Source organism: Homo sapiens, chromosome 22 (genome assembly GCF_000001405.40).
Source record: "Homo sapiens chromosome 22, GRCh38.p14 Primary Assembly".
Taxonomy (NCBI): Eukaryota; Metazoa; Chordata; class Mammalia; order Primates; family Hominidae; genus Homo; species Homo sapiens.
Genome location: NC_000022.11, coordinates 17020923 through 17036385, shown reverse-complemented (window position 1 = coordinate 17036385; position 15463 = coordinate 17020923). Strand labels below are relative to the sequence as shown.

Sequence of the window (15463 nt, the reverse complement as noted above, 5' to 3'; positions counted from 1 at the left end):
TTTTTTCTTTTTTCCCCCCTCCAAAATGAAAGACATGTGTAGCTTTGTCCCCTGTACACGATCCATTCCCCAGGGCCGCTGTGCGGATCCAGCCCGCTGGTTGCCTCTAGGGTCCGCATGCGGCCCGGGGCCTGCCCAGGTGAGGTCTGCGGCCGCCACAGCGCTGAGGTCCCGCCTGGCCGGGGAGCACGAGCCGCTGGGGATGCTGGCTGCGAGGCTCCCGGGAGGTGGAGCGGGAGGTTGCCCCAGGCCCTGGCTGCAGAGCTCTTGATGTCACGCCTGGCACCCTCCGTCCACCGCCTCGGGGCAGCGCTTCAGAGCCCCGGCAGAGGCAAGAAGTCGATCACTTCGTTCTTCATTCGTTGGAAAAATTTAAAAGCACATTATAATCCCTGGAACAACCACGTCAGAGATAGAGCAAAAAATTAAAATAGGATTGTAAATGACACACTGAAATAAGTTTATTTTAAAAATGGTAGTCAATGGAAAAACAGGATCAGAAGACAGGAGAGACAGGGAAAACAAATAAGTTATCTGACTGAAACAGAATTAGAAACTAACAACAGTAAGAAATATTGGACATCTGAAAATATGTGAAAATTTAACAACCCACCTCTAAATCATTGGATCAAAAAAAAATCACAAGATAAATTGGAAAATATTTTGAGCTGCACTCCAGTTTGGGTAACAGACTGAGACCCTGTTTCTAAGAAAACAAAACAAACTTCAAAAAGCTATAAAATTAAATGCCAACTTTCCCCTTTACCCAAACTCTCTGTGGCTCTCCTTTGCCCTCAGAGTCAAGCCCATGCTTCTCACTGTGGGCTCCAGGAGCTAGGTGGCCTGACCAGTGCACACCCTATCACCATCTCCTCCTCTGCCCACTTGATCACGCTGTCCAGTCACACACACTCTTTATTTTTCCAAATGCCAAGCTCCTGATCACCGCTGGGCCTTTGCCACCGCAGTTCTGCCTGCCAGGACCAGTCTTTCCCTAGACCTTCCCATTCCTGCCTCTTCCTGGCTTGGCTGCCTCTTTCCGGTGCTTCAGGTCTCAGATCAAATGTCACCTCTTCAGAGAGGATTTCCTTGAAATCTCTGCCTAACACAGCCTGTATCAAGGTCAACACTTTTCTCTTTTTAGACTTACGTTTTGATATAAAGAAGTTTCATAAAAATGACTTGGGCAGCTATCATCTGTTTAAAAGGTCTGACTTTGTTGAAATAATTTGGGCTTTCCTGTTCTTTGAGTTTTGATAAAACAACTGTAAAATCATCTGCCTTTTTTTAAAAAAATTGAGATTGATGCATACTTTCTGTTATTACTATTTTTTTTACATTCTGTCTCCCAGGCTGGAACACAGTTGCTCATAGCTCATTGCAGCCTCAAATTACCTTGCCTTTGTAACAGTAGGTCCTCAGTCACCTTTCTCATCTACAGATGTTGGTTTACTTAAGCTTTCTAATTACTTGGAGGTCAGCTTAGCTCAGTGGTTAGCACAAGTTGCTAATAAATGCTCAAGTATGAGGGTGCAAAGAAAGGGGTAGGGAGGTGCAAGACTCTTGGCTTCAAATGCCCAGTCCCCTACTCATCTGCTCAGGCCCCTGTCTAGCCTCTGCATCTAAGCCAAACTACACGCCTCCTCCCCTGAGAAGCCCTCTTGGATTTCTCCTGTCCTGTCTTCCCTGCTCTATCCTCCGATGAGTGGATCCACCCATCTGCCTCTGTGCTGGGCAGATGCCACTGCTCTCTGCTTTCTGGCTGGACAAGGCAAGGGGGCAGGTGTGTGTGTAGAAGTCCCCCTAAACCTTGGCCTTTGCCTCATGCCTGGCACATTCAACCTTTGCTGACACCTCCGCAGAAATACCAACCTCACCAACATCTGCAGAATGGGCCGCCAGGGTCTGTCTGGAGCTTGGGTGGGATTTTCACTTGACTACAAATACACACACACACCCTAGGCTTCCGGGTCTGCATTCCTTGGCTGGCTCTTCACACTTGAGTCCAAGACAGGTCAATGGTTAGTGGCTGGATTTGCAAGCATGTGTGTTTCTGGGCAGGATATCAGCTGGGGCAGTCTGAGAGGAAGCTGTCAAGGGAAGCTAAAGAGGAGGGAGTCAGTCACGTCTCTCTTCACCTGTTGCACTCTCTAAATTTTACTGTCCACTCCTAGGCCTGATCTAGAGGGCTGTCTAGTCTAGGGGAGACAAAGTTGGATGTATCTACTGCCAGCCCCATGGGGTCAGAACTACAGGGGAAGGATGGGGACTGTGGGATTCCAGAGGAACAACAGGGAGGGCTTCTTGGAGGAATGCTTGTTCTTGAGCTGAGTTTTTTTTTCTCTGCAGCTCAGTCTGAAATGCAGTGGCACAATCACTGCTCACTGCAGCCTTGACCTTCCGTGCTCAATTGATCCTCCTACTTCAGGGTGGGACTACAGGCACATGCCACCACACACAGCTAATTTTTGTATTTTTTGTAGAGATGGGGTTACATCATGTTGTTCAGGCTGGTCTCAAACTCCTGGGTTCAAGCAATCCTCCTGTCTTGGCCTCTCAGAGTGCTGGAATTACAGGCATGAACCACCTCATCTGACCTGAGCTGAGTTCTGAAGTGTGAATAGGAGTTGGCTAGGTGAGGAAGGGAAAAAAGGACCTTCTAGACAGAAATATTTGTCAAAGATAGAGAGAAGTAGGCAGGAGCTGATTAGGGCAAGGTGTTTGAACGTCAGGCTGGATGCAGAAATTTTCTCACAAGGCCAATGTGGAACCATGGAGAATGTGTGAGCAAGGGAGGCCATGATTAGAGCTTGATCTCTCAGGGGCAGAGTGGGGGACAGCTTGGTTCTTTGGTGATGGGATCAGGAGAGTTCCAGTGTCATGGGGGGTCAGGAGAGTTAAGCCCCGCATCAACTCATCTGCACCTGTCACCTCGCACCAGAGTTGGTGGGGGACCTCCTGATGTTCTGGAGGGCCAAATAAGCCGTGGGATCCAGTGACTTACAGTGTGAGGTACAGACCAGCACAGAGAGGGTACCGCCCCAGGCTCTGCTCAGATGGACACAGCCCTGACCTCATCTCCAGCCTCCTGCCATCTCCACCCCAGCCCTGATAGTCCTGCTTTCCATGGTAGCCATGAGCTGCGTGTTAAAATGATAAATCAGCCCCATCCCTTCTCTCCTCAAAACCCTCTCATAGCTCGTCTTTGCTCTTAGGCTAAAACCCAGAGCCTCCTGCAGCTCAGAAGACCCAGTGTGGCCCAGCCTCTGTGGCCTCTGGCCCTCCCCACCCACTCCAACCTCACTGCTGTTTCTCTCCCCCTTGGGATCCTTGTACCTGCTGTTTCTTCTGCATGGAATTCACTTCCTGTCTCAGCTCTAGGACATCAGTCCAGAAAGGCCCCCAACTTCCTGCCTCTCGGGGTTCCCCTGTCTCGTGACCTCTGCACTAGCCATAGTGTCCCTATAACTAAAATTGAGACAGATTGAGAAGGGGCTTAGTTGAGCCTTCTATGCTCAAGAGACTCAGGCCCAAGCTCAGCCCCAGTCCCTGCTCTCATGAGACCACAGGCACAGGGGTCATTTGGGGGATTATCTTGGCACTGGGTCCTGTGGGATGGTGTCACCTCCAGCCTCCAGGGACCCATCCTAGCCATGGGAATGTGTCCAATTCCTGCCCAGGATTAAAATTAGCCCTGGAGATTACATTTAGTAAGTCAAGCTGGAAGTCAGGGGCTGGAGCCCACAGCCTGGGCTCTGCAGAGCTGTGGCGGCTCAGAGACTCAGCCCAGAGAACATGGAGGTATGCTTGGGGTCACACAGTGGGCCACAAGTGCCACCTGAGGTGTCAGATACTTGTGGGCCTGGGACACCTGGATGATGAAGGGTCCAGCATGGGCTGGAGCAGTGCCAGGGGTTGGGGTTCTGAGAAGCATCTGTGGCCACTCCCAGAGAATGACCTGAATTTCCTGAGAGTTTGTTGCCAGGCCTTGTGGTGGGCGCTTGGCATTTCATGCCTGCCATAGAGGTCTGTTACCTGTCCCATTCACAGAACAGCACATAGAGGCCTAGAAATCAGCCTCCTATGCTGAGAGCCACCTCAAGGGTCATAGAAGAGGCTGGGACCCAAGCATAGGCCCATGTGACTCTGGGGAGTCACTCATCTGAAGCCTCAAGTCATCTGTGACATGGCAGAGGCTGGGAGGTGGAGTGTGTTCACACAGTTGGCAGAGCGGGGATGTCCCCTGGGGGTCTCAGGGGCCTGGGATGGCATGCCTGCTGCGGAACGGGCAACATGATTTCTTTCTATTGAGGAACCTTGCATGGGGGTGCCAGAGAAAGCCTTGTCCCTGCCGTGGCCCAGCAGCCTCCTACTTCTGAGACCCCCACCGGGGGATCCAAGATTCCTTGAGGTGGGGTCCAGGGTTTCTCCTGAGTCACCAAGTGGACCCCTGGACCTAAACTCTGGTTTGAGGGCTCCAAGCCAGAGTCTTTCCAGGGAATCCCTGTACTCTCCCACTGGAACAGGGTGGGGTTTCCATCATTCTCTTTTCAAAAAAAAAAAAAATTAGCAGAAATAATTCACTGGTGGTTGGGGGGAATTGGAAGATTCAGATAATCAAAGAGTTAAAACAGGCTGGGCGTGGTGGCTCATGCCTCTAATCCCAGCACTTTGGGAGGCTGAGGCAGGCTGATCACCTGAGGTTGGGAGTTCGAGACCAGCCTGACCAACATGTAGAAACCCAGTCTCACTAAAAATACGTAATTAGCCAGGTGTGGTGGTGCATGCCTGTAGTCCCAACTACTTGGGAGGCTGAGGCAGCATAAGTGCTTGAACCTGGGAGGTGGAGGTTGCAGTGAGCCAAGGTTGTGCCATTGAACTCCAGCCTGGGGGACAGAGAGAGACTCCATCTAAAAAAAAAAAAAAATTGGAAAATTGTTGGGAATATAATCCACACAAAAATATCCTCAATCACATTAGAGTGGCCAACATGCCAATTCAAGAAATTTAGAGTACCTTTGTGAAGTACTATACAGGACAACAATCACCAAGACACAGTTATCAGATTCTCCAAGGTCAACATGAAAATAAAAGCCTTAACAGGAGTTAGAGGAAAGGGTCAGGTCACTTACGAAGGGAACTCTATTAGGCTAACAGTAGACCTATCAGCAGAAACCTTACAATCCTTAAAATCTTAGGAGCCTATTTTCAGCATCCTTAAAGAAAATAAATTCCAACCAATAATTTCATATCCTGCCAAACTAAGCTTCATAAGCAAAGAAGAAATAAAATCCTTTCCCGGCAAGCAAATGCTAAGAGAATTTGTTACCATTACACTAGCCTTACAAGAGGTTCTTTAGGGAAATGAAAAATAAAAGCTGCTAATATAAAACACACTTAAATACATAGCCCAAAGACCCTGTAAAGCAGCTACACAGTTGAATCTACAAAACAACCAGCTAACAAAACAATGACAAGATACAAATCTCACATATCGATATTAACCTTGAATGTAAATGGTTCAAACACCCCACTTAAGAGGGACAGAGTGGTAAGTTGGAAGACTCAACCATATACTGTCTTCAAGAGACCTATCTAATATGTAATGCCATCCATGGGATTAAAGGAAAGGGTTGGAGAAAGATCTCTCATACAAATGAAAAACAAAAAGACCAGAGGTTGCTATTGCTATGTCATATAGAACAGACTTTAAACCAACAACAGTAAAAAAAATAAATAAATAAAAAGCATTACATAGTGATGAAGCATTTAGTTCAACAAGAAGACTTAAAAATCCTGAAAATATAGGCATCCAACATTAGGGCACTCTGATTCATAAAACAAATACTTCTAAACCTGCAAAAAGACTTAGACAGCCACACAATAATAGTGGGGGCGAGTTACTGGGTGCAGCACACCAACATGGCACGTGTAACTAACCTGTAACTAACCTGCACGTTGTGCACAAGTACCCTAAAATTTAAAGTATATTTTAAAAAAAATAGTGGGGGATTTGAACATCCCACTGACAGCTTTAGACAGATCAATCATTGTGATGAAAACTAACAAAGAAATTCTCTCTTTTTAAAATGTATTACTATTATTATTATTATTATACTTTAAGTTTTAGGGTACATGTGCACAACGTGCAGGTTTGTTACATATGTATACATGTGGCATGTTGGTGTGCTGCACCCATTAACTTGTCATTTAGCATTAGGTATATCTCCTAATGCTATCCCTCCCCCCTCCCCCGACCCCACAACAGTCCCCGGTGTGTCATGTTCCCCTTCCTGTGTCCATGTGTTCTCATTGTTCAATTCCCACCTATGAGTGAGAACATGTGGTGTTTGGTTTTTTGTCCTTACTATAGTTTGCTGAGAATGATGGTTTCCAGCTTCATCCATGTCCCTATAAAGGACATGAACTCATCATTTTTTATGGCTGCATAGTATTCCATGGTGTATATGTGCCACATTTTCTTCATCCAGTCTATCATTGTTGGACATTTGGGTTGGTTCCAAGTCTTTGCTATTGTGAATAGTGCCACAATTAATATACGTGTGCATGTGTCTTTATAGCAGCATGATTTATGATCCTTTGGGTATATACCCAGTAATGGGATGGCTGGGTCAAATGGTATTTCTAGTTCTAGATCCCTGAGGAATGGCCACACTGACTTCCACAATGGTTGAACTAGTTTACAGTCCCACCAACAGTGTAAAAGTGTTCCTATTTCTCCACATCCTCTCTAGCACCTGTTGTTTCCTGACTTTTTAATGATCGCCATTCTAACTGGTGTGAGATGGTATCTCATTGTGGTTTTGATTTGCATTTCTCTGATGGCCAGTGATGATGAGCATTTTTTCATGTGTTTTTTGGCTGCATAAATGTCTTCTTTTGAGAAGTGTCTGTTCATATCCTTTGCCCACTTGTTGATGGGGTTGTCTGTTTTTTCTTGTAAATTTGTTGGAGTTCATTGTAGATTCTGGATATTAGCCTTTTGTCAGACGAGTAGGTTGCAAAAATTTTCTCCCATTCTGTAGGTTGCTTGTTCACTCTGATGGTGGTTTCTTTTGCTGTGCAGAAGTTCTTTAGTTTAATTAGATCCCATTTGTCAATTTTGGCTTTTGTTGCCATTGCTTTTGGTGTTTTAGACGTGAAGTCCTTTCCCACGCCTATGTCCTGAATGGTATTGCCTAGGTTTTCTTCTAGGGTTTTTATGGTTTTAGGTCTAACATGTAAGTCTTTAATCCATCTTGAATTAATTTTTGTGTAAGGTGTAAGGAAGGGATCCAGTTTCAGCTTTCTACGTATGGCTAGCCAGTTTTCCCTGCACCATTTATTAAATAGGGAATCCTTTCCCCATTGCTTGTTTTTGTCAGGTTTGTCAAAGGTCAGATGGTTGCAGATATGCGGCATTAATTCTGAGGGCTCTGTTCTGTTCCATTGGATTATATCTCTGTTTTGGTACCAGTACCATGCTGTTTTTGTTACTGTAGCCTTGTAGTATAGTTTGAAGTCAGGTAGCGTGATGCTTCCACCTTTGTTCTTTTGGCTTAAGATTGACTTGGCAATGCAGGCTCTTTTTTGGTTCCATATGAACTTTAAAGTAATTTTTTCCAATTCTGTGAAGAAAGTCATTGGTAGCTTGATGGGGATGGCATTGAATCTATAAATTACCTTGGGCAGTATTGCCATTTTCATGATATTGATTCTTCCTACCCATGAGCATGGAATGTTCTTCCATTTGTTTGTATCCTCTTTTATTTCATTGAGCAGTAGTTCGTAGTTCTCCTTGAAGAGGTCCTTCACGTCCCTTGTAAGTTGGATTCCTAGGTATTTTATTCTCTTTGAAGCAATTGTGAATGGGAGTTCACTCATGATTTGGCTCGCTGTTTGTCTGTTATTGGTGTATAAGAATGCTTGTGATTTTTGCACATTGATTTTGTATCCTGAGACTGCTGAAGTTGCTTATCAGTTTAAGGAGATTTTGGGCTGAGACAATGGGGTTTTCTAGATATACAGTCATGTCATCTGCAAACAGGGACAATTTGACTTCCTCTTTTCCTAATTGAATGCCCTTTATTTCTTTCTCCTGCCTGATTGCCCTGGCCAGAACTTGCAACACTATGTTGAATAAGAGTGGTGAGAGAGGGCATCCCTGTCTTGTGCCAGTTTTCAAAGGGAATGCTTCCAGTTTTTGTCCATTCAGTATGATATTGGCTGTGGGTTTGTCATAGATAGCTCTTATTATTTTGAGATACGTCCCATCAATACCTAATTTATTGAGAGTTTTTGGCATGATGCGTTGTTGAATTTTGTCAAAGGTCTTTCCTGAATCTATTGAGATAATCATGTGGTTTTTTCATTGGTTCTGTATATATGCTGGATTATGTGTGTTGATTTGCGTATGCTGAACCAGCCTTGCATCCCAGGGATGAAGCCAACTTGATCTTGGTGGATAAGCTTTTTGATGTGATGCTGGATTTGGTTTGCCAGTATTTTATTGAGGATTTTTGCATCAATGTTCATCAGGGATATTGGTCTAAAATTCTCTTTTTTTGTTGTGTCTCTGTCAGGCTTTGGTATCAGGATGATGCTGGCCTCATAAAATGAGTTAGGGAGGATTCCTTCTTTTTCTATTGATTGGAATAGTTTCAGAAGGAATGGTACCAGCTCCTCTTTGTACCTCTGGTAAAATTCGGCTGTGAATCCATCTGGTCCTGGACATTTTTTGGTTGGTAGGCTATTAATTATTGCCTCAATTTCAGAGCCTGTTATTGGTCTATTCAAGGATTCAAATTCTTCCTTGTTTAGTCTTGTGAGGGTGTATGTGTCGAGGAATTTATCCATTTCTTCTAGATTTTCTAGTTTATTGCATAGAGGTGTTTATAGTATTCTCTGATGGTAGTTTGTATTTCTGTGGGATCAGTGGTGATATCCCCTTTATCATTTTTTATTGTGTTTATTTGATTCTTCTCTCTTTCCTTCTTTATTAGTGTTGCTAGCGGTCTATCTATTTTGTTGGTCTTTGCAAAAAACCAGCTCCTGGATTCATTGATTTTTTGAAGGCTTTTTGTGTCTCTATTTCCTTCAGTTCTGCTCTGATCTTAGTTATTTCTTGCCTTCTGCTAGCTTTTGAATGTGTTTGCTCTTGCTTCTCTAGTTCTTTTAATTGTGATGTTAGGGTATCGATTTTAGATCTTTCCTGATCTCTCTTGTGGGCATTTAGTGCTATAAATTTCCCTCTACACACTGCTTTATAGGTGTCCCAGAGATTCTGGTATGTTGTGTCTTTGCTCTCTTTGGTTTCAAAGAACATCTTTATTTCTGCCTTCATTTCATTATGTACCCAGTAGTCATTCAGGAGCAGGTTGTTCAGTTTCCATGTAGTTGTGCAGTTTTGAGTGAGTTTCTTAATCCTGAGTTCTAATTTGATTGCACTGTTGTCTGAGAGACAGTTTGTTGTGATTTCTGTTCTTTTACATTTGGTGAGTAGTGCTTTACTTCCAACTATGTGGTCAATTTAAGTATAAGTGAGATGGGGTGCTGAGAAGAATGTATATTCTGTTGATTTGGGGTACAGAGTTCTGTAGATGTCTGTTAGGTCCACTTGGTGCAGAGCTGAGTTCAAATCCTGGATATCCTTGTTAACTTTCTGTCTTGTTGATCTGTCTAATGTTGACAATGGGGTGTTAAAGTCACCCATTATTATTGTGTGGGAGTCTAAGTCTCTTTGTACATCTCTAAGGATTGGCTTTGTGAATCTGTGTGCTCCTGTATTGGGTGCATATATATTTAGGATAGTTAGCTCTTCTTGTTGAATTGATCCCTTTACCATTATGTAATGGCCTTCTATGTCTCTTTTGATCTTTGTTGGCTTAAAGTCTGTTTTTCCTGAGACTAGGATTGCAACCTCTGCTTTTTTTTGTTTTCCATTTGCTTGGTAGATCTTCCTCCATCCCTTTATTTTGAACCTATATGTGTCTCTGCATGTCAGATGGGTCTCCTGAATACAGCACACTGATGGGTCTTGACTCTTTATCCAATTTGCCAGTCTGTGTCTTTTAATTGGAACATTTAGCCCATTTACATTTAAGGTTAATATTGTTACATGTGAATTTGATCCTGTCATTATGATGTTAGCTGGTTATTTTGCCCATTAGTTGATGCAGTTTCTTCCTAGCATCGATGGCCTTTACAATTTGGCATGTTTTTGCAGTGGCTGGTACTGGTTGTTCTTTCTGTGTTTACTGCTTCCTTCAGGAGCTCTTGTAGGGCAGGCCTGGTGGTGACAAAATCTCTCAGCATTTGCTTGTCTATAAAGGATTTTCTTTCTCCTTCACTTATGAAGCTTAGTTTGGCTGGATATGAAGTTCTGTGTTGAAACTTCTTTTCATTAAGAATGTTGAATATTGGCCCCCACTCTCTTCTGGCTTGTAGAGTTTCTGCTGAGAGATCCGCTGTTAGTCTGATGGGCTTCCCTTTGTGGGTAACCCGACCTTTCCCTCTGGCTGCCCTTAACCTTTTTTCCTTCATTTCAACCTTGGTGAATCTGACAATTCTGTGTCTCAGGGTTGCTCTTCTCATAGAGTATCTTTGTGGTGTTCTCTGTATTTCCTGAATTTGAATGTTGGCCTGCCTTGCTAAGTTGTGGAAGTTTTCCTGGATAATATCCTGAAGAGTGTTTTCCAACTTAGTTCCATTCTCCCCGTCAATTTCAGGTACACCAATCACAAGTAGATTTGGTCTTTTCACATAGCCCCATATTTCTTGGAGGCTTTGTCCATTTCTTTTTACTCTTTTTTCTCTAAACTTCTCTTCTCACTTCATTTCATTCATTTGACCTTCAATCACTGATCCCCTTTCTTCCACTTGATCAAATCGGCTACTGAAGCTTGTGCATGCATCACGTAGTTCTTGTGCCATTGTTTTCACCTCCATCTGGTCATTTAAGGTCTTCTCTATGCCGTTTATTCCAGTTAGCCATTCATCTAATCTTTTTTCAAGGTTTTTAGCTTCCTTGCGATGGGTTCGAACATCCTCCTTTAGCCTGGAGAAGTTTGTTATTACAAACCTTCTGAAGCCTACTTCTGTCAACTCATCAAAGTCATTCTCTATCCAGCTTTGTTCCATTGCTGTGGAGGAGCTGTGACACTTTGGAGGAGAAGAGGTGCAGTGGTTTTTAGACTTTTCAGCTTCTCTGCTCTGGTTTCTCTCCATCTTTGTCATTTTATCTACCTTTGGTCTTTGATGATGGTGACCTACAGATGGGGTTTTGGTGTGGATGTCCTTTTTGTTGATGTTGATGCTATTGCTTTTGTTTGTTAGTTTTCCTTCTAACAGATTCCTTAGCTGCAGGTCTGTTGGAGTTTGCTGGAGGTCTACTGCAGACCCTGTTTGCCTGGGTATCACTGGCAGAGGCTTCAGAACAGCAAATATTGCAGAACAGCAAATGTTGCTGCCTGATCTTTCCTCTGGAAGCTTTGTCTCAGAGGGGCACCTGGCTGTATGAGGTGTCAGTTGACCCCTACTGGGAGGTGTCTCTCAGTTAGGCTACTTGGGGGTCAGGGACACACTTGAGGAGGCAGTCTGTCCATTCTCAGAGCTTAAACTCCATTCTGTGGGAACCACTGCTCTCTTCAGAGCTGTCAGACAGGGAAGTTTAAGGCTGTAGAAACTTCTGCTGTAGAAAGTTTCTGCTGCCTTTTGTTCAGCTATGCCCTGCCCCTAGAGGTGGAGTCTACAGAGGCAGGCAGTCCTGGTTGAGTTGTGGTGGGCTCCACCCAGTTCAAGCTTCCTGGTGGCTTTGTTTACCTAGTCAAGCCTCAGCAATGGCGGATGCCCCTCCCCCAGCCTGTCTGCTCCCTCCCAGTTCGATCTCAGACCGCTGTGCTAGCAGTGAGCAAGCCTCCATGGGCATGTGATCCTCCGAGCCATGTGCGGGATATAATCTCCTGGTGTGCCATTTGCTAAGACTGTTGGAAAAGCACACTATTAGGGTGGAAGTGTCCCGATTTTCCAGGTACCATCTCTCATGGCTTCCCTTGGCTAGGAAAGGGAAATCCCCCAACCCCTTGTACTTCCTGGATGAGGTGATGCCCCACCCTGCTTCAGCTCACCCTCTCCGTGGGCTACACCCACTGTCCAACCAGTTCCAGGTACTTCAGTTGGAAATGCAGAAATCATCTGTCTTCTGTGTTGATAGTGCTGGAGCTGTAGACCAGAGCTGTTCCTATTTGGCCATCTTTGTGCCTCCCCTTGTTTTTTTTTTCTTCTGATTTCAACTTGACAGCAGAACTCAACCATGCTGATGGTGCAGACGCAGGTTGGTAGGAACTTTTCATTGTTTGATTCTGACATTTATGATAAATGGATTCACTTACTAAAGTTTTGTAGAGAGAGTAATAACTATTTAATCACCTAGATGATATTTCCTTTATAAAATCAAACATATCTGGTGGTTTTAGAGCAATATTTTTTACCTCAGTCACTTGTGTTTATTAGACAAGAATACTAAGTGTCAAGATGTTTGCATTGCCTTTCATATTTTTATTTAGGGGACAGTGTAATGATAAATGACTTTGAATATATAACCAGACACACCTTCATCCCCCCCCAAATCTGTGCTAATTTACTGTTTTTTATATTTCATGCATGAAGCTAAATTGTTTTTACCCATGGGTTAAAGCAAAATGATACAATGATACCTGAATCCTGGCCAAATAACATGAAATGGCAACTGCAAAATTGTTCTGCAAAATTTTACAAGGTATTATGGTATTGAGGATATCCCAAGAAAACTTGAGAGGCATTATCTTTCTCATTGGAGACTGATATTCCTGTATCAAGTAAAGTCTCAGGAAAAAGAACTATGTGTGACTATTTTAATGCAACCTCTTGGTTGAAATAAAATGATTAAAAGTAGTGTTTATCTTGTTGATAACTGAGAAGCAAATATTAAAAATTTTGTTCTGAGATGAAGAGAGTTCACATGATAAGTCTCTGGGATGTGAAGTAAACTGGGAAAGCACCAGGACCATTTCTAAGACATACAGTTAATCAGGGTTTGGATAAACAGAATAATGTTCCCCACTCCCTAAAAAAGATATTTACATCCAAGTTCTTAGATACTGGAAATACATTACAATTCATGGCAAAGAGAATATAAGGTTGCAAATGGGATCAAAATTGCTGATATGCTGATGAAAAATAAGAAGACTATTATGAATTATCATGGTGGGCCCAGTAGAATCATAAGCATCAAAAACCATGGAAGAGTGAAGAATAAACCGTATCAAAGTGATAGATCATGAGAAAGACTCAATTGGATATATTTTTAATTGTTTGCTTTAGTGAGTCTTTCCACTTTAGCATACATTTTATTCAATTCGACTGTGCAAATGTGATTCATTTTATATGCCTGTCACTGAATTGGGTGCTAAAAATAAAATGAGAGAACACAAAATAACAAAAATTGATTTCTAAAGATGGAGGGCAAAGGGCATTAGGAATATAGATAGTGTGCACCCTATACAGGCATGATTGTAAATGTATTCATTATATATAGAGAGTAATAATTATATATATATAATTATTTGGCTTAGAAAAGAGTGCAGGGGGTACATTATCAAGAATTTAGCATCAAGGTTAATCAAGAATAAGTGAGTAAAATAAAAATAATAATGATGGTAATAATTTCAAACACTGAAGAAAGAACATTGATGATATGAGTCATTTTTTTTCAGATCTACAAAATATGTTTCTTCTATGCCATTAGGATGAACACAGTTTTCACTTACGTTATCTTTTAAAAATGCCTTTAATTGTCAAGCTAGCATTAGAATCTCAGCCAACATCTTCCATCTTCTCTTCCACATTTTTACATTCTTTCAGGATCATAGGCCTAAGACCCATGACCTGGTCACCTGTCATTTGGCCTTTTTCCACCTAGTAATGCTCTTCACTGCAATGGAGTTTTTGTCTCCAGACATGTTTGAGTCACTGAATTTTCAGAATAACTTTAGATGTAAAGCTTTCTTTTTTTTTTTTTTGGAGACGGAGTCTCGCTCTGTTGCCCAGGCTGGAGTGCAGTGGCGCGATCTCAGCTCACTGTAAGCTCCACCTCCCGGGTTCATGCCATTCTCCTGCCTCAGCCTCCCAAGTGGCTGGGACTACAGGCGCCTGCCACCACGCCCGGCTAATTTTTTTTGTATTTTTTAGTAGAGACGGGGTTTCACCGTGTTAGCCAGGATGGTCTCGATCTCCTGACCTCGTGATCCACCCGCCTCGGCCTCCCAAAGTGCTGGGATTACAGGCGTGAGCCACCGCACCTGGCCTAAAGCTTTCTTCTATTTGCAGAAGGTGATGAGGGGCCTCTCCATCTGCACCACCTGCCTCCTGAGCATGTTCCAGGCCATTACCATCAGCCCCAGCACCTCCTGGTTGGTGAGATTTAAACATAAATTTACAAAATACGATATCCTGGGCTTATTCGTTTTTTGGTTTAGCAATTTGTCTTTCAGTAGCGACATGATAATCTACACTGTAGGTTATTCCAATGACCCAGATAATTTTGAATATCAGCAAATATTGCACATTTTTCCCAATGAATGTCCTCATCAGGGCGCTATTTCTTATGCTATCATTATCCAGAGATGCCTTCTTCATAGGAATCACGCTGCTCTCAAGTGTATACATGGTCATTCTTTTGTCCAGGCATCAGAGGCACTCCCAGCACTTTCACAGCAGCAGCCTTATATTAAGGACCTCTCTAGTGAAAATGGCCACCAAGACCATCCTGATGCTGGTGAATTCCTTTGTGCTGATGTACTCAGTGGACTTCATCCTCTCATCATCCACAATGCTGTTATGGGTAATTGGCCCTGTCACCTATGGTGTCCACAAGTTTGTGGTCAATGCCTATGCCACTGTCAGTCCTCTGGTGCTAATCAGATCTGATAAAAGAATCATCAATATTCTGCAAAAGTTTCAATGGAAGTGCCATCTATTTTTAACAAGTTGGTGATAAAATTTTCTAAAAATTATTTCCTTGTAATCAATTAAATTATACAAAACACATAATTTTCTTTCTGATTTAAATAAAACATGTGAATTGTACTTTTATAATATCTCAATATCTTTTAATTTTTTGGTGCCAAGAACTATGTGCTTTCCTCAGTTCAATGTCCACTATGATTTTGTATTCTCAAGGTCTGTCTCTCACCCCTTCATTTTAATTTTAACCTGTATACAGGAAAATGTTATTTTCTTCTTGAGTACACTCTTACGCGGCTCCTATTGGCAAGCAAATCTCTTAGTTTTAATTTTTGAAATTATTTTAATTTTTCTTGTTTATTGAAGATATTTAGCTATATTCAAATTCTAGCTTGAATAAAAAATTTTTTAAGCATAATTTTAAAATTTGTTTTTAATTGAAAATAACATTGTGTAAGTTTAT

General features: G+C 42.7%; 1 pseudogene, besides 1 other annotated feature; it reads left to right on the top strand.

Moving 5' to 3' along the window:
* Window positions 168-277: a silencer, noted in NCBI's record as "silent region_13427". NCBI's record gives its function as "represses an Ori minimal core promoter by ATAC-STARR-seq in GM12878 lymphoblastoid cells {active_cell/tissue: GM12878}" and the evidence as "EXISTENCE:reporter gene assay evidence [ECO:0000049][PMID:35858748]".
* On the top strand, window positions 14116-15031 carry VN1R9P (vomeronasal 1 receptor 9 pseudogene; annotated as a pseudogene).